Source organism: Homo sapiens, chromosome 4 (genome assembly GCF_000001405.40).
Source record: "Homo sapiens chromosome 4, GRCh38.p14 Primary Assembly".
Lineage (NCBI taxonomy): Eukaryota > Metazoa > Chordata > Mammalia > Primates > Hominidae > Homo > Homo sapiens.
The window spans coordinates 71,237,737-71,257,927 of record NC_000004.12 but is presented as its reverse complement, the minus strand read 5'-3'; the positions used below and the strand labels follow the sequence as shown (position 1 = coordinate 71,257,927).

The window sequence follows — 20,191 nt, the reverse complement described above, 5'->3', positions numbered from 1 at the left end:
CAGAAAAATTCAGATCTATTTTAAATGTTGAACCAACAGAAATCATTGAAGGATTGCATATGAGGGTGAGAGCAAGGAAAGAATCAAAGATGACTCCCATCAAGTTACTATTTATATGTGGGCTTTTTGGTTTTTGTTTTTCTCAGAAGTATAAGCATCACATCGCGCACTGCCAGACACATGTGGGAACCTTGTCTATGGGACGTGGTATGTCTATGGACATAAGCAACTCAAACACCATAGGTCACAGAACAACAGAAACTGTTATGTGGCTGTTCTTGAGAGACAATAATAGTATAGTAGGCAAGTATTTCATTCAGTTTTCCCACAACAATTTTGTCATCATGTTGGTGCCAGAGCCCTATGGCTTCCCCCAAAATCATGGGGTTAAATGTCTTTCTATATCTAGGTGCAAAAACTCTGACTTTTAAACAGAACTGTACCAAATAATTAACTACCAATCCATCAAAGCAGCTGAGGATATACAGCAATTTCTAAGAGAATCTTCATGTCAAATTGGATAACTCATATCAAATATGCCAAAGGCATATTAGTGTATAACATTGATCAGCAGGAACAAAACGGTAAAATGCATACTTATAAATAATTTTTTTATGATCACTGAACAATTTAGTCCTTAACAACTGTCTCTCCATAGGATCCCTTCAGAAAACCAGTATACAACATAATGCAGTATTCCCCCAGGAAGAAACCTCTGAGGGGAAAGAGAATGGATTGCCTTGTTTATTTTAAATGCTGTATTCAAACTGGTCCCCAAATGCCACAGAATGCAACAGTATTCTATGGTTGATACACATGCGGTCTCAGCATCTTCCTGATCTGTTCATTCCTTATGACCTATCTGAGTGCTGCTGGCACTGTTTCCACTGCCCTTCTCAAAAGCTGATATATAATTTTAATCTCAAAATTCCTGGGCCTATTTGTCTAGGTGAGCACCTCTTTACTTTTTAACATTAATAGTGATGATGCACTCTTGTTCTAATCTGAAGAATGAAAGACAAGTTATAAAAGACACAGAGAGGAGAGAAAGAGAGAGAGTAGACAATCACATGCACAATGGACAGAACACTTGACACTGGCTCAGGCCTTGACAGATGGATACAGAGTAAATCAAGATAAATGGTAGTCATTTATTTGGAAAAGAATGTTATCTTTTGTTCCTCCAGACTATTAACTGTGCCATGTTTATGTGCATTTTAAGGCCTTTTCTCAAAACAGACTCCACTACCTTAATCGATATGTAAAGGATCCCTTTCAGACAGACCTTCCCCCAGTACTTCAGTGAAAAGTACATAACTTGAGTCTCCTGCCTTCTGGTCCTTCTAAGTCTTAAATTTATTTCAATGCTTTTAATTTAGATTTCATGATCCATCTCAAGCTCCCCTCCAAGCTTCTGTCTTTAATTCGATGGTCCACCTGTATTTCTCCTCTTAGCACCGCACTTCTCTAGCTTCCTAAGCCACCTGCTCAGTTCCAACGGTGAGACTATAAAAAATTCACATCACTATGCCTCACACCCTCTTTAATTTAACTCTGTAAATTCACTTTTCAACACCCTTGAGCTGTTCATTCTAATTTGGCCTGTCATCAACTGCAATGACTGAACCCGATCTTTATCTGTGCCATCCATAATGCATTTTATTGCAGGGTCCATATTTCTGCAACTGTAGCAAAGACATGAAGAATGTACAGAGCTCTGCCAACATGAAAAGCTGTCACTGTGTAACTCCTGTTGGGGAATCTTCCAAAATTGGCATGTGTTTCTACTGCACATATTCATTCTCAGTTCAGCCACAATATTTGGCCCATGTAGCCAAATATTCTCCACATTAAAGAAACAAAAAGCAACATAAACATACATCTAAACACACAGCCTATCCTATCACTTGAATTCAAGGGTGTTCTTTGACCTCCTGCTATTCTGCTCTTAGTAACACTTTTATCCAGTGTATGACATCTAATACATTCAACATCTTAACAACTGTGTCACTCTACAGATCTCTCTTACAGGATGATTTTCCACAATTCCTATTTAAATCACTGACCTGACTCATAACCTGGTTTTATGTCACCTGTAATGCTGACATTTGGTAAGATATGTAAATATATAGACATACACTCTCATCTTCACCTGCTGTCTCAACAGAACCTATTTCTAAGCATAAACCATGCAAAAAATTCTTTAAGAGTCTTCCAGTTACTGTTTATTGCTGTAGTTAAATACCATCTGCAATACTACCCTATTACACATAAAAATGTAGAATACACAGCTATGCCTAAACTTAGTCAGGCCTTTTCTGATCAACTCAGAATCTTACCAGATGACCTCCTAGATTAACCTGCTGGTACAAGCAAAGCATCTCCACAGACATTATCCTTTAGAACAGATTCTAAACATCTCAGTATTACAGTGTCCCTCCCCTTTAGCCACAAGATTCAAAAAGGTGTCCTTCTCAAAGATGTGGGAGTGAGGCAGAGAGAGGCACCAACGCTCAGAGAGTACTCACTGAGAGGTTTTAGGATGCTGCTGCTGGATTCATCAGCATTTTCAATATCTGATTTGTCAGAGTAGTTCTCAGAGATTCTCTCCTTTTCCTTCTTTTCTTTGTGCCCTGTCTTTCTCTTGTGACGTCTCCTTCTCCTGTAACTCTTCGGCACATGGACTCCGATGTAAATGGTATGGTGGCCTAAGGAAGGTACACAAATCACCAGTCAGTTCAAACCACATTCTCTACTGCAGACAAATTGCACAAGATACACAGATCAGAAGAAAATGTCTATAAATTCAACGTTACCATTCTATATTTGGCAAACTCTAGAAAAATAAAATTTCCTCCCAATTTTCAATTAGCTTCAGTATAATTCAAGCTAGTGGCTGACACTAGGACTCTGTGAGAGTGTACTCTAATTCTGTCCAGATAGACTACTTTTGTTTAGGAAAACCAAGGAATATCAAACTGGAAATCAGGAATCCTTCATGTTTGTCATACTCTGCCATCAATTAGTTGTCTGACCTTAAGCATGTATCTCTTAACCACTCTGGGCCTCTCATCATTTCTAGAAGGAGAGACTTAAACTGGGTAATCCCTAGAGGGCCCTCCAGTTTCAGCCTTACATGAGTCTATGATTATACTGGGTAGGGTTAGTGCCTGCTGGAAAAGGAGCTGCTGGCGCTGCAAAAATAAAGATTTATCAAAGTTCAAAAAGTCATTTTGCTGGGGGTAAGGCTTTACATTAAAACTTTTTTTTTTTTTTACCTAATCAGCAAAATAGAGACTTAGAACTGGGACAAACTGAGAAAAATAAGACATACTTGGAGAAAAGATTTTAGAAATACTCAAACGTTCACACTAGGAAACAGCTAAAATGAATGTCAGCTACAGTGCCATTCTCATTTTTCTTTTTTCATTTCCAAAAGTTTCTAAAAACTGGTTGTTGCAATGATAAAAATAAACCGAGCCCAGCAAAAATTGCCTTGAAGAGAAGGGCATGAGGAAAAAAGATTGTGAAATGCTTTCAGCTCTCTAGATGGAAGGAGCTGCAAAACTGACAAGTGGTATTATTTTTACAAAATCTAATAAGACAAAAAAGAAAGAAACTCAAAGTTCCACATCATTTTTTAAATTGAAAAACTTCTACTTTCACTTTAAATACAGCATAACTTCTGTATTTTAGGAACTACCATTTGAGAAATAATGTGAACATTTTTGTCTGAACTGCAAATTAGATTAGATTTTCTCATCTATGGGTTTTATTTCCCATTTCCGGAATTATTCCTTGATGACAACTTTGCAATGCCACAGCCAATATCACGTACCTACATGCAAATACATGTACATACAGTATGTATGATACAAACTGTCATGAACTACTTTCCACAGTAACCTACGGGGTATATCTAAAAACACCATAATTGGCAGGGGTGTTTCCTTAAATTGGCAGGCTTCAAAGAATTATATGCTCCTTCAGGAAAGATATTCCAGCTAAGCAATGCAGAACCTAAGTGAATGGGTTAGTATTCAAAAGAAGACATCAGATGCTTGAATGAAGTTGGAGGCATCTTTACATAAAGCAGGACCTCCTTCCCAACACACACGCAGCAACTCAGCTACTACAAAACACAGTGAAATTCTCCCCACAGAATGTGTGCCAGTGAGAAGTGTATCTATCATGTGTAACCATTTGCAAGCAAATGGTTCTCATGGGAAAGCTATATTATACTAGGAAGTAGGAAATGTCTCAGAAACAATGTGAATTAAGAAACAGTGTCAATTGTTTCCTGTGCTCCAGTTACTGAGGGAGTCCTGAAGTTTTATCTCAAGTCTTAACAATGTAAGTGAGCAAAGCCAACCAATTGCTTCAATAAATCAAACACGAAATGCTTGGTTGTTTTCAAGAAAACACACACAAATTAAGAGGTTGAAAAATTTTTTTAAACCTATCACATTAAATATTTTCTATTCACCTTATTAAATATGGCGGCTAAGCAAAAAATGGTAATTAAGCTATATTGCCATATGATGTTATATAGAAAGGTTTTTTAAATTATATTTACCCAAATCTGCATAGTACATTTGATCAAATCATTTAATAGACAGTCTATATGGGTGGATAAGATGCTAAGGTAAGATTACTGGCTAGGAAGTGTCATCATGGTCAATCTAATGAAAGAGTTAGGCCAGTTCAGAGAGTGAGCCATCAAACCCTGGAGAGAAATGCACTTGACTTTTTGGAACCTACTTTGAGTTGTCATTATCACATAAGTGGTGCCATTTTGTTCACATCGTGATGATAGGCATCCTCTCAGCAACAGATTCTGTCTATCCCCATTTCCTCCAACTCCTCCTTCTTGGTTTTCCCTGTGCACTTCCACACAGGTGTGGGAGCGTTCAGAATTGACACTGCACTGTGAAGTGCTATGGTGCCCAGAGGTCAAGCAGAAATGTTGTTCCTCTCAAGACATGCCAAATTTTAGGCATTTTAAAATCACCTTTACTGGGGTGTAATTTATAAACAATAAAATCCACTCATTTTAATGATACAGTCAATGATTTTAGTATATTTACAGAGTTGTGCAACGATCATCATAATCCAATTTTAGAACATTTCCACCAATCCAAAAAGATCCCTCATATCCATTTGCAGTCACTCTCTGTTCCCACTCCTGTCTAATGCAACCACTCTTGACCACGTTTTAAAACTCTTAGTGATGGCCTCTGCGAAGCTACCATTCTCTAGTACTCATATGGCAATGAACTTTTTGTAGACATCCTTACAGCACAATAAAATACAATATTCCCTGGATGAGGAAGATATTGCCTTCCAACAACTGCCAGAGGAAATCAAGCCACTGAGCTGAGCAATTCAAAACTTAAAGCATCCTCCTCCTCTCACATGTGATTGGTAACTAAATTTTCCTTTTCTGTCTTGTGTTCAGGTAGAGGACAAGGAACATAGTTCCATGGTTAAGCAAACCTTGAGGGGCTCAGGGACAGTGCTTTCTGCTCCATCAGTTACTTCTCAGCCTCTCTCACTTCAGCTTCCTTGCCTATAAGAAGAGAGCAAGATAGCCTTGCTTTGGTGGATGGGGTAATACAGACATGCTGTCTCAAAGGGACAATCAAATACTTAATAAGCTATATGTGCCAAGTAACCAAAACACCGAAAGTAAAATGAGCTGTAATGGAAGCTTTCTCACTGCCCCCACAGAATATCTGTCATCATGATCAATAGAAGCATCATTACTGTTGAAAATATGCTATGATTGATGAGAACATCACATGTGGATCTCAATATTTATTTTCATTAAAATCTCTTTACCTGTTTAAGGGATATGTCATGAAGACTGATGACTATTTTTAAAATTATAACTCATAAAATGACTGCAAGTTCTTAGGGGAGTCACAAAGCTGAGGATATAGTATTGTTTTCCCTGTAATATGAAAAGGAGAAACTTGACAGACAAGCTTTCCAACCCAGCAAGGGACTACAAAACAGTAAGACCATTAAAGAATCAGGGATAGTTAACCTGCTTCTTATACAGAACTTTTTAGGCTAAAAAAAAATTCTCCACTAGAAAACTCAGGAAATACTGCTTCCAAAGATAATGTAAAAAGGAGGAGTGGAAAAAATTTTAAGAGCTATAATGTATGAGGAAGAAGTGATCGTTTTAAATGTTATCAAAATAAATGTTACATTCTTGCTACTGAAACTTCATGAAGTAAAACTACTGGAATCTACATTTGACAGTGTTCATTTAGGTGTGCTGTCAAAGAGCATTCAGTCCTTGATTTGGCAGTGGCTTCAGTATCATGTGTTCAAATAAATACCCTGCATGCCTTTCTCTGACAGATGGTGCAAGTTCCCAACAAACTCTAAATATCTTGGGAATATCTCCCAATCCGTACCACAGCCAGTACTACTGGAAAGAAAACATGGCTTTCCTGGGTATCTCTGAATGTCAGAAATGATCACTACGTGATTCTTGTTTCTTCCCATCCTTACATGCTCCACCCCAGTTGCAAGTAGGAAGTACTATGATGTTAACTCATCCAATTATCCCAATTCCTGAAATATTTCTAACCTAACTTCATACTTCTCATAGTTGCTACAATGTTTTCTGGCAAACAAAAAACTTACACTTAGTAACTCTGGAGCCATTCAAATTAAGGTGGCTTTCACAAATACACATTTTGCTACCAAGGATGATTTAACACTTTGAAGTATGAAAACCTTCAAGCCAGAAAAGGGTTTTAGATCAGCCAAACTACAAATTCTATAGCTGAGTGGATGGTTAACAACATATGCCTCTATATGTAAGATACATCTATTAGCTCCTTCCTGGGAAACATGTTGCTGTGTTTACTGTACATACAGATGATAGCAACTATTTAGTGAATACTTACAAGCATGCCAAGCACTGCGAGGTGTTTTATATCTACCTCCTCATGCAATCCTGCTCCTATCCCCATTGTACAGGTGCAAAAACCACAGTTTGAGGAAGCCAAGGACATTATAACCATTTAACTTTGTATGAAGTGTTCTCTTCATAAAACCCCACAGGAGAAATATGTCTCTGTTCTCAGTATCAAGACTAGTACAGTGCTTCATCACTACTTTGATGGTGTGTTCTGTAAAACATACTATATTTATATCATAAATTTAATAACTTATTATGTCACCTTCCTCATTGGCTGCTAACAAGAGAATAGACAAATTTTAGGCAAACCCGTAGTGAGCATATAGAGTTTCATGACGTGCATTTTATACACAACCTCATTCTTCCAACTTTTCAACAGTTACTTTCCCTTCACCCTAAAGCTTTTTGGAATAAGGTAGTATATAATTTTTTAACCTGATATGTCAGTACTGTATTCTATCTAAAGGATCACCAAAGGACAGGTAAAATCTTTACCCAGAAGTCTACCTTTCCCCACCTCCCACCATCCATCCCCTACCTCCAGCCTCTTACATACATCTCTAATTAAACACTGAGGGATGTTCCAGATTTGATTTATAGCCACACTCTTACTCTTTCAGCTGAATTTCTGTTCTCTCCAGTTCAAAGCAAAGATTCTACAACATGCAGCATTTTATATACTTCTTTCAGAACTAATCAGCAATATTCCCAAAATATGAGTTAAATACTGCCTTCCCTGGCTTATCTAATATAACCTGGTCTTCTGCCAAGATGCCCAAGACATGTTGTAGCTATTGCCAAGAGGAATGTAGGTAGAACAAAATTAAGAGATTTATTTTTTTTTATTAAGAAAAGAAAAATGTAGAAGAGGCGGAGACCCTGGATGAGTGACAGATTATAAAAAGATGCTGCAAAGACTTTACTTGTTGGACCAAAAAAAAATCTCAGTTAAAAGTATATGCATAAGAAAACTTAAACCAAACTACAGTATCAAGTCCAGGCACAGTGGACACTGTGTGGTTGACACTTTTATTTAACAAGAAATGGACAAGTATGTATAATCCTAAACACTTTAATAATATACAAGTGATTTTTTTTTTTTTTGAGACAGAGTCTCGCTCTGTTGCCCAGGCTGGAGTGCAGTAGCACGATCTCGGCTCACTGCAGCCTCTGCCTCCCCAGTTCAAGTGATTCTCCTGCCTCAGCCTCCTGAGTATCACAGGCATGTGCCATCATGCCCAACTAGTTTTTTTGTATTTTTGGTAGAGGTGGGGTTTCACCATGTTGGCCAGGCTGGTTTTGAACTCCTGACCTCAAGTGATCCACTCACTTCGGCCTCCCAAAGTGCTAGGATTACAGGCACAAGCCACCACGCTCAGCCAAAATACAAGTAATTTGTTAGCTTATTATTCTCAAACCCATAAGAGTGTCCATAAGCAGCTCTAATAAGATACAAGCAAAGTAACATTGCTAATTTACTGGTATAAATACCAGCTCATGAGAAGAAAACCCCCTTCAAAAAGCACAGCATAATTTTGCAGTTACCAGGGGGTAAACCAGCCCTTTATGAAATTTTGCATGAGGGTCCAGACTCAGAACAAGGGATGATTTCTATTTTTATATATGGATAAGGGCAATTTTTTTACATAAAAAATAATGTGTTTATTAATAGATAATTACGTATTACATATGTCATTTATGTATAGATAATTTTGAATACTGATAAGTAATTTATTTTAATTTTAACGCTACCTATTACACAGGACCAGGCATGCAAGCAAATGACAAATGTGATGAAAAACAGGGAAATACTTTTCTTCCCACTGAACTGCATGGGAATTTTATATACTGAAAGCCTCCCAGAAATCCTCAAGGCAACCTGAGGTTCCCCAAGCAAGACTGATAAGAAATCTTAGCTTGTTACTTGATGTTCACTGAGCACAGCACTATTAATATTTAATATTTGATGATGATAATAATAGTGATAACAATCTCTAGGCAAGAACTAAGAGCTACAGAATAAAAGGTCTCAAAGGAGACACAAGCTTATGATTGTTAGCTAGACTCCTGTCCTTTAGCTCAGCAAACGTATGCATCTGTCTTCCAAGAGCTCATTTTTAATAAAACAGTTCTATTAATTATAGTCTTAGATGAAGGTGAGGCGCCTAAGACCACATACTGAAGTTAAGCTTCCTTTGAAGTTTCCATTATTAATGGCTGATAGTAAAGGCAAAAACTGACTGGCACTCTATAAAGTCTGAATTAGTGAATATGTTTATAGAAATACAACTTTATTATGTTCAGTGATCATCAATTATTTGAAAAGATCTTAGCTAGAAAAACAAGAATTTCCCCTTAAAGTTACTTCAGGAATCTACCTTAAGGAATTAACAAAATTAGAAATCAGGTTACCCTATGTAAACTGCAGTTCCTGAAGAGCTTTTCAATCTTCAAAGTTGATTCTCCAAAATAATGTTAACTTTGCTCTAGCAAAATCTTTCATATCTATAGATACAAAATGTATCTATATCTATATAATTATATCTATATAGATATAAATTTACCTATACAAATATCTATATATCTATCTCTATATAATCTTTATAGAGAGATTATATATAAATATATATTTATTTAATGCACATTCTGAATTAAACATAGTCTCCCACTGTGTCTGGTACACAAAGGTGCTGCATAAATGTTGATCCTATTTCTCCCTTCCCTTTTCAAAGGAGAAAAAAACAGAGCACAGTTTTTTCTCATTCCCACCCACCTCCAGCCCTGATAATAACTAACTTGTGAACACTCTTTGTTCTCCAGAACATTCACCTAGAGGAGGGCAAAAGAGTCAACCTCAGACCTATTCTTAACTTGTCCCTTAATCGGCAGTTTTAGCCATCCTACAGAGTTGAGCTCTTCAACAAAGGCAGCACCTTCCATAACCTCAATCTTCCCTAACTCTGTCCAGAAGCAAGGGCTTGGCAATCTCCACCCTGATTTGGGCAAAGTTTCCCCCAGAGCTTTCAATGGCTCACTGCCAATCTGCAGGAAACAGGTCTGTAAGTCCTTGTACTTGCTCCAACGAGACAGAATAGAGCCAAAAGGCCTAGGAAGTCCAGCACTAGGCAGAACAGTGCTCAGAGTGAGCAGAAGCCACCCAACGGGAAGACATGAACCCTCCACTTATCCCGACACCCAGAACCACCCCACACGGGCTACTGCATTGTAATATGCAGTACACATGCTGTCAGACAAAATCCACCTGTGAGCCAAACACAGAGAACTGACAGTTTCCAACATTTCTCTTTGGTCACCATTTGCACAACTGAATGGGAAGTAGGGTTGGAAGATAAAAAAACAATAGCTAATTCAGTGGTCATTGATAACTGGATTTGCAATTGCAGCCAGAGAGGCAGCTTAGAGAGACACATAAATGCACACGTTCACACTCTCATTCCAACCACATTGTCCATCTCTGACTCTATTATGGCTTCTCTTTTTGCAGTGGCCTAAGCCCTGGCTGGGCAATAGGATGAAGGGTCCTTGGTTGCTATAGACAGGTAATCTGCAATATAGTCAATACACTCATGGCTAATCAGGTATCAACTATTTAATATAATATATAAATATTATATATTTTAATATATGTTAATCTATTATCATAATTATATATCATATATGCAAAATATTACATATGGTTATATATCTTATATTGTATTAGTAGATGAACATATTTTTAAATATTATATCTTATATAAAATATTGATGTAAATATTTAATATATTAAATATTAATTTATATTTGTTATAAAATATAAATATTAAAGTTCACATTATTCCCTTCCTTCATATACACATATGTAGGTAAATGAGATGTAGATAATACCATAGGGCTATAACAATTACCCAGAACTAGGAAAAATGCTATGAGAGACTTCTGTTAACCTAGAATCCCAGAATCTTCAATACTGTGGTTTTCCACATGCACCCAGGAAAAAGAGGGACGACATTCATTGACACAGCAGCACATAATCACACTTTTAAAGTGGCCTAAAAATCACTTTAACCGGTTCAGCCTCTTCATTTACCAGTGATCTAACTAAAGTCAAATAGGCAATTAATGACGTATAGAGACTAGGACTCCTAGTGCCCCTGGATATATAAGCCTTCCTTTCCCATTTTTCCACTATCATGGTACCAGTCCTCCACCCATCCCTCCCATCCTCCACTGTCTGGAAAAAACAGCCAAAAGAATAATAACGATTAATCCTTTCAAGTTAGTAATTATTGAGAAGGGAAAAATGGGCTCAGGATTCTCTGGAAATGTTTGTCTTAGAGATACAGAATGACAAATTGAAATCCACCACCCTTAGTTCCATAAACTGCTCCAAAATATGACAATGTTCTAGCTGGGACATCTGTCTTCCCACTTACTACCAGGGGTCATTCAAATGCTGCAGCCAGTCTTATGTCTTCTTTCCCTCTCACCTCTCTGTAAGCTCTTTCAACACCTTTTATTCCTTTCAGGTCTTTCCACTTCCTGTTCTTCCAGGTGCTTCTCCTAGTTCTCATCCATCTCCCTACCTAAATTCCTTTTCCTCTGCAGAGGGAGTCAACCTCAAGCACACTCTTTTGGGATGAGCACAGCCTTGGGAAAGTCAGAACACGTGGATCCTTGTCCTAGTTATTCCAACTCCTACCAAGGTTACCTCGAGGAAATCATTTAACTTCTTCATGGTTCCTCTAGCCTATTGAACTAAATTTTCTCTAAGATCCTTTCTAGTTCTAAAACATCTATAATAATTCCAAATGTTTTAATTAGTTAAGTGAAGTGGAGCACATAGAGGGAAAGGCTAAACGTTTTCCAGCATCACCTCAAAGTCTCTTCCTAACTTCTCATAATGATAGTTTTCTCTTGGGCACTCTTATTCCCAACTAACCATGACACCCACATTGTTAACAAAAGTTACCAATCACCTTCTTTTTGCCAAATCCAGTAGCTACTATTTAATCCTCATCTTACCAGACTTCAAGGCAGCATTCAGCACTGTCAATTGCTAGCTCCTTATTAAAAGCCCTCTTCTCGGCCTCAGAGGCTTCACCCTCTTCCCAGTTTTCCTCCTACTTCTATGACTGCACTTTGTTAATCTCCAAATGTTGGCACTTGCAGAGTCCAATCGAGTCCTCTTCTCACTCCATTCTTTGACCCTGGGCAATATCATCCATTCCTATGGCTTTAAATGCTAGCTATATGCCTAGGACTCCCAGATTTATATCTCCATCCCTGTCCTTTCTTCTTAGTTCCTGCTTGTATAGTCAACTACCGGCTTCAGAGTTCTACTGCGGTATCTCACAGGTGCTTCAAATTCAATATATACAAAAGGCTAAACTCCTATCATCCCCCACCACTCTTCCTCCACTGTTCCCCATCTTACAAAATGGTACATGATCCCCTAAATTGCTCATAACAGAAATCCAGAAGCAGCCATCCCCATCCATACATCCACCCATCAATTCAACACATTTGTCTCCATCTTTTTTGTCCCCACTCTTGTCCAACCCAAAATCATCTCTCAGTTGAATCTTGGCAACAGCCCCCACACTTCTGTCTTTGCCCTCTTGGGACACTGTCTCCATCCAGCAGCCAAAGGAATCTTTTCTAAAATACAAATTTGGTCTTATCACTTCCTTGCTTAAAACCCTTCTGCAATGTTTCCTTAGTGCACACTCAATAAAATGCTAATATTTAGCATAACATAAAAGACCTTGAGTTATCTGGGTCCTATCCACCTCAGAACTCTCCCCCTGTTCACATGGTCCAGCTACTGTAGCCTTATTTCTGTTTCTCAAATGGGCCTACCTCTTTCTCACCTCTGGACCTTCACACATGCCTGCCTGGAATGCTTCCCTGATTCTTCACCTAGCAAATTCCTTTTCCTCTTTTAGGTCTCAATTTAATGTTATTCTGTAGGAGATATATTCCCTGGCCTTCCATGTAAACTCACCTACGTATGTGATACATCTCTAAAATTACCATGTCAACTAACCTTGTGTCCTTAAATAATGGCTGGTTTATTTGACTAAACAATAATCATGGTCCTAGTTACAATGTTATCACATTCAATGATACACATAAGCCTGGAAAAGCAACATATTAGAGGTCACACCTGCAACTGTTCTTACCATTTTGATCGGCTTAAAGAAAAAAAAAAAAAGCATGGTCCATCAGTTACTTAAATTTAGTAAGAAGAGTTAACGTAAGTACTAATCAACTAATCTGTTGATTACCAGATATTAGTATTAGCTTTAGTGTGAAAGTGTTCTGCAGTCACAGCAACCACTGGTGAGAAAGTGTTGCACATAAAGATAAATTACATACAACAATTACCTGCAAGGGAGATAATACCTTAAATTTATGCGGTTAATCCTGGGGGATTTCAAATTGCTTTACTTATATTCCTAGAAAAAAGTAGGAGATGAGAGGTGCAAATTCTATCTTGTACAAAAAACTGAGATTCAGAAATTAAGTAACTTCTTAATGGCTTACTGGAAGTATCAAGGTATTTTTCAGGTATTATCCAAAAATTCTTAGAGCATTTCTAGTAGGTGGCTAAGAAGATGGGTTACTCACTGCACTTTGCATGAAGGAACCATAACCACATGACAATGATTTGCCTTGTATTATGCAGAAAGGCAGTGGCAGACCAGGAACAGAAAAAGGTCCTGAGACTACTGGTCCACCACCATGTTCTCTAAACCATAGAACAGAAGGAATAAAAGCGAGTAAAAACTTGAATAATCAGATACTAATTTAATTTGTCAAACACACGTATCCATTAGATTCAATCATGGGCTTTCATTCTACCTTGAAGACATTTTCTTTATTTTTCAGTAGGAATCAAATTTCCTGTTGAAAATTTAATAATCAATTGGGGGTTGGGTAGTGATTTAACCCATCTATAACAATGTAATTCCATTCCTCTAAAGCTGATATACTGGCCAATGTTACTAAAATTTAAAACCTCTTTTTATTCCCGGAAGTTTTTGGCCTGGTAAAAGTTACTGAGCATTCCACCATGAAAATAGTCACTAAAATAATATTTCATGAGGTCTAAGTAGAGTCTGTTCTTCCAAAAATCAACAGAATATGAAGAAAGGTACACACATTGGATATAGCCCTTTGGATAGCTGCCTTCTAATTCTAACTCTATGGAAAGGCAGAAACAATTTACCAGATTTGAAAACTTTTCAGCTATTCAGAGAAATGAATTATTTAAGTCATCTATACTGCTGATTCAGTGGATGTCACTCACCACCCTCACTACCTTCACCTTTCATCCCACCTGGCAATCAGCAGATCCAGGGATGAATGTTGGAACCTCCCGTGAACCTATGCCATTGCAGGCTCTCACCTCAGTCACCTAAATGCAATCAGCCAAAAGAGTAAAATAAAATAAAACAAAATAAAATAAAATCTCACCAGCAAGCTCATGACAGCAACAAGAAAGCCTCAACTGATCTTTATTATATTCTTATTTTACTCATTCTCATCAGGCCCAATTCTCAGTTCTCCCAATGATTTCTAATCTCATGGTGATAAAAAAGGGGAAATATTTAGTTCAGGTTAGAATATATAGTAGTATTTCCATACTGTTGCATAATCTCATTTAATTGGCACCTAAATTACATAATGGCCAGTAGGAAGCAGAAGTATTCTAGTCTATGTGGCAGACAAGGGGAAATGCATTTCTATATGCATGTTTAAATACATATACACATACTAGACTCTTGAATCCTTCTCACTCGCAGAAAAACACTACATTCTTGAATCCATTTTCCAAATGAAGCAACATTGCAGGCTTTATTATACAATGGACAAGATTTGCGTTTTACCCAGTATACAATTATGGTTAATATCCCTCTTCTTGGAAAAAAAGACAATTTAACAAATTAAGGATAATGTGTATCAGAGCAGTCTAACTGTGAAAATTAGATTTCATACCCAGAGCTTAAAGGATGAGAATGAGTCCAAAGGCAAACAGAGAGTAAGCCTTGGGAAGTTTCAATGGATCATTCTGGCTTTAGTTTTCCAATATAAGAAGCAGTAGGTAAGTATGGTTAGGAAGGCAAAGGCTAGATGTAGGGAGAAATGAATTAAGCAAGTAAACAATATTTACACCAGTTACGATTTGTAGAAAAGATTATAATAACCAAAGAAAATTATATAAAATTATAAGAAAATTATAATAACTAAATTATAAGAAAATAATTAATTAAGTAATTAAAAGAAAATTATAATAACCAAAGAAGATTATAATAACCAAAGAAAATTATTGGTGAGGCTGTATCCATCAGAAAGAAAAACAACAGACAGTGGTGGAGTATAAAGCACTCCTGTTCCTAATGCCAGGTACAGCAGCAATTGCTGTTGGAAGTTCTTAAGAGTTCTAAGGTGAATGACATGCTCCATTGCTCCCATTTTACAAAGAGAAAAACCCATAATCTAAACTATAAGTTGCTTCCTTCACCTATGCAATGATTTGGCAATAGAGCAAGTTTTAAATTTTTATTCTCAAACTGATACTTAGTGCCTCTGCTTTGACAACACTTGAATAAAATAAACAATAGAGACTCCCCAAAATAAATATCAAACAACATGTCTCACTAATATGACCAGATAAAAAGCTTCTAAAAAGAAGCTCAATCTATAGGCAAAACTGCTATAAGTGTACTATTTCAGAATTTCTGGATCCTTGCCAAACACAATGCAAGTACCACGTGCAATTTGGTATGGCTTATTGCCATCAAAGAACACCAACACCTAGGATAGGAAATGGCTTCAAGAGGGCTTTGGCCGATACTATACTACCAGGGAATTCTCTGCAGTTGGAAAATTCTCAAATTCTCAGAAGAAATGTCTGATTCTAGTTTCAAAAACACACGGAACTATCATCAGCCTTCCTTGAAGTGAAAGAAATCTATATATAAATATTTAACTTCCCTGACACAGCAAGAGATGTCAGGCAGCTACAGAGCTAAGTGCTGCATACTTGAGGACCTCTGGCCAGCGTTCAGCTGAGGCCATGAGGAGAAAGGAGCAGGAAGCTGGGAAAGGTCTGTATGGGCTCAACCTGTTCTGGGAAACCTATGTTACTATTCAAGTACCAACTTTTAAAAACCTCACTGTATTTCTTTAAAGTGGGCCAATGTGTGGATACATTGTTTCCTTTTAAGAAGGCTTTTCCTTTAGCAGTATTTGCCCAAGAGTTTCCTCTGTACACACTGTTTTTCTGAGCAATTAGAGTGAACAGCAGAGAAGAGGTCAGCAAAATGCAACCGGACACTTATATCCAGCGCTCAGAATAGCCCCAGTCCCAACTTGGCCCCTCCCTGCCCATCCGATAGGTTTTCATTCACTCCTTCTCAGAAATTACGTTTTATACCATTGTAATAATTAAAAAATGTCTACCAGGCCCCAGTTTTTTTAGAAAAAAATACTACCTTCTCCAGTACACGAGTAGATGATCATCATATCCTCTAGCAAGAAATAGGTTTAAGTCATGATTTCATGTCTGTAAAATGTTGAGGTCTTGACTTCCAAAAAGACAAAAGCCACCATTTCATTATTTTAGTCTCTCTCTTCAAAAAACAGAGTAGGAGAATGAAAAAGTTTGATAAAGCAGAGGTGTTTAGGACCTTCTTTTTCTTATCAGTATAAATATATAAATGATATAAGTATGATAATGATCTCTGCAAAATCAAGCAGGAGTAATACCAAGGATAAGATGAGAGGCTATATCATTTCATTAGAATAAGAGTACTAAGATAACAAAACTTCTTTTTTCTTTTCCTTTTCTCTTTTCTTTTTTTGAGGCAGGGTATCACTCTGTCACCCAGGCTGGAGTGCAGTGACACAATCACAGTTCACTGTAGCCTTGATCTCCTGGGCTCAAACGATTCTCCCACCTCAACCTCCTGAGTAGCTGGGACTACAGGCATGCACAACACCCAGCTATTTTTTTTTTTATTTCTCTGTAGACATGGGGTTTTGCCATGTTTTCTGGGATGTTCTTGAATTCCTGCCCTCAAGTGATCCTCCCACCTTGGCCTCCCAAAGTGCTAGGATTATAGGCATGACCACCACGTCAGGCTTTGAGAACCAAATTTCTAACAAAAAAATTTAAAAAATATGTCAGAGTATTATACAAAGTGATTCTACATATGCTTTATTTAGTTTATGTTATACATTCATTTATTCATTCTTTCTCTTAACAAATAATTAGTGAATATCTACCCTGTCCCAGACCCTGACATACTTTTTTTACTTTTCCTGAAAACAATCCTCCTGTAAATTCCATGCATTTTCAACAACACTCCCTCCTAATGTCCATCAGTAGACATGTGAATTTGTAGAATTATTCTTCCATTGGGACAGATGGGTGCATACTTCCCACTGCATTAAGTTTTGAATGGAAGAGGAAAACCAGCACAATATAGCATAATAGCTCTAGGAGAGTACTGACCAAGCCTCAAAAATGGAGACACATTTCAACCAATACTGTGTTACTGCATCTTATATTTTCTGAGTTGTTGGTTGAACTTGATGTTAAGAAGAGGCCCCTCCTCATGAAGTCAGAGTTGCCAAGGCCTGCTGGGAGTTACCTAGCCTTGCAGAGCCAAAGCCTTATCTCAAAGGATAAGGTGGAGTTTGCTCTTTTCCCCTATTGCAAAATATGAGACTATTAAGTAATCTGTTTATATCATACAGATCCAAAATTCTGGCTGGCTTTTTTAGGAATAAAACATCCATAGGATTTTCTTCTGTTTTTGGAAAAAGTTACCTGGGACTGACTCTTCCTATCTCAATCTTCATTCACTACGTAATTAGCAATCACTACGTAATTGCTACGTAATTAGCAATTTCCCCCATCTATGTTTGAAACGAAAAGTGAGTGGTTGTTCCTCGTGGTCAACACTTATGGATCATTCTGGTAATGTTAATTTGTCATCTACAGACCAATTCTGTGGAAGCGTGGAAGGGCCTGGGTGGGAGCTGGGGCATTTTGATAAAGAAATAAATATGAATATCTGAAATACTGACATTTTAAAATGAGTTTATCCACAGTAACCCCTCTCCTCCTAAAAATGTTAACTTTAAAACCACGCATAGTACAAGGTAACCAGTGGAAGAGCAGATTTAAAGGCTTCTATTTATTTTAAAGATTAAAATTGGCACTTGGTTTCATTTTGAAAGAGTATCTCTTTAAGCCATTAACACATGAAGAAAATTATGTGACAATGAGGTTTAGGCCTTTAAATATATGCCACATAGATAAATTCATTACTTAAACAGATGACTCCTCTTGTGACTCACTCTGTGCTTAGTGAGTTTTGCAGTTGATGGTTTTCTATTAAGTTTTTAGAATGTGGATTAAGTGTCATGCCACCCACTGAGAGTAAAGTTGAACAAGGTGAACTGAGGGCGTGGTTTGAAGTCTCTCTCCTCAGAACCACAGCATTCGAAGCAACTAAGAGAGAGTATCTGGCTCTTCTTGCCTTCAGGTTGAGCTGACTCCAATCACCCCAAATTAGGGGACCCTAAGCACTTTTAAAGCACAAATATTTCAAAGTAACAAGAACTATCAGACCTTAGTTACTTTAATAATCACTTATTGGGAGTACATCTTATTTATGCAGATAACTGTAAAAAACAAAGTTTTATTTTAAGTTGACTTTGCCAAGAATGTTTACAAACATTGTAAACTTCTATGTTTATCCTAGAAGCAACAGAAATAACTACTTTCATAAAAGAAAATGTAAATAATAATATAAAGTGTTCCAGCTCCTTGCCTTTTGAATTCTGACCCTTAAAACTGAGGCATTCACTTCTGCCATAAATGTGCCAGGAAGCTACTTTAGAATAGAGATAACAGTTTGCTTTTCTTCAGATACACTCTTCTCTATGCAATTAAAAATATGAGATGGACTCATATCCTTGGGAAAAAACATTCCCCTCAAAATGTGAATACTTCTTAGAGGTCTTAACATAGGCCGTCTGTTTCTTCATTCTCAATCACTGGAACCATGGATGTGCCAAAAAACCCCTGTCCATTTCAACCGTTTTATACTATCACCTAGAGCTACTATAAAAATCTAAGACCTCCCACCCCCACCAATAAAGCAAGGTGAAAAAGGGGGAGGGTCAATTGGGAGAACACCAAATTAAAAATGAACAATTTTGTTCATTTCAAATGAGCAATTACTATAATTTCAAGGCTAGTACTGTAAGACAGTCAGCACTGTTGAAAGTTACCCACAAAATAATCCATAAGCAATCTTCTTATGGGGCTCAGGACTCAGCAACCGGCAACTATCTGAGCATGTCTTGGAAGAAATGTAGTCAGCTCAGGTGCCAATCAACATGAAAGACAGTCACTAAAATAGAGGTCTCATAAAAACAGGAAAACACACAAATCCATTTGGACGGTTTAATCATCACAAAACCAACACATTTCTTGAATTTTACAGATGTTTCTACCACCTTTGGTTGTGTTTCTGTTTCTTCTTAAAGAATCCTGGCTACAGATTTGTGTGCTATTCATTTATATTGTCGTCTTAATTTTGTGCTTGAAAATCAAGGGAAATAGTTCAGGAAACGCACTTTTTAGTCAAAGCCTTAAGAAACAGTATACAATATCCTATTTCAGTAGAGTACTGTCAATCCTACAGACCTTACAAACTCAAGAAGTGATTTACATCTCTTGTGAACCTAGCTAGAACATTATTCTCAAAGGAAAACACACGCACACAGTATATGTCACTCCCAAGCTTTTTCTACTTCAATTGTCTTAAAACTATAGGCTATTTGCTCAAAGCTACATTATTTCTTATATTCATATGCTATAACTCCTCTTTGCTTGTATCTCCTCTTTGCTGGTATCTCCTCTTTGACACTGGGACAGTGACAGAGTCACTAAAATGATGATTTAACATCATGGGTTCCAAGAATCTTAAGACAAAAGTTTTACTATTTTGCTTTCACCAGCTTGACATTTTCCCACAGCATGTTGCAAAAATGCAAGGAACCCATAAAACAATATGAAAGAAAATACTGTAGTTTCCGTTTTCCTAAGAAACTTAGGCATCAAATTCTTATTAGTCAGTCTCAAGAGCATAAATGCGGGAAGTTGAGGGGGGCGGGTGGAGGCGCCAATCCTCTAACACCACATGGGATGAAGAAACTTACTAAAGA

At 37.4% G+C, this 20,191-nt stretch overlaps 1 protein-coding gene across 8 annotated transcripts in view; it reads right to left on the bottom strand.

The window, feature by feature from the left end:
- Positions 1-20,191, bottom strand: part of SLC4A4 (solute carrier family 4 member 4) — a 509,424-nt gene that overhangs the window by 314,156 nt on the left and 175,077 nt on the right. For all 8 annotated transcript variants that reach the window (XM_024454268.2, NM_001440628.1, NM_001134742.2 and 5 more), the window contains one exon: positions 2,529-2,708. In XM_024454268.2, the coding sequence (XP_024310036.1) occupies positions 2,529-2,708 (180 nt within the window). The remainder of the gene's footprint in view (positions 1-2,528; positions 2,709-20,191) is intronic.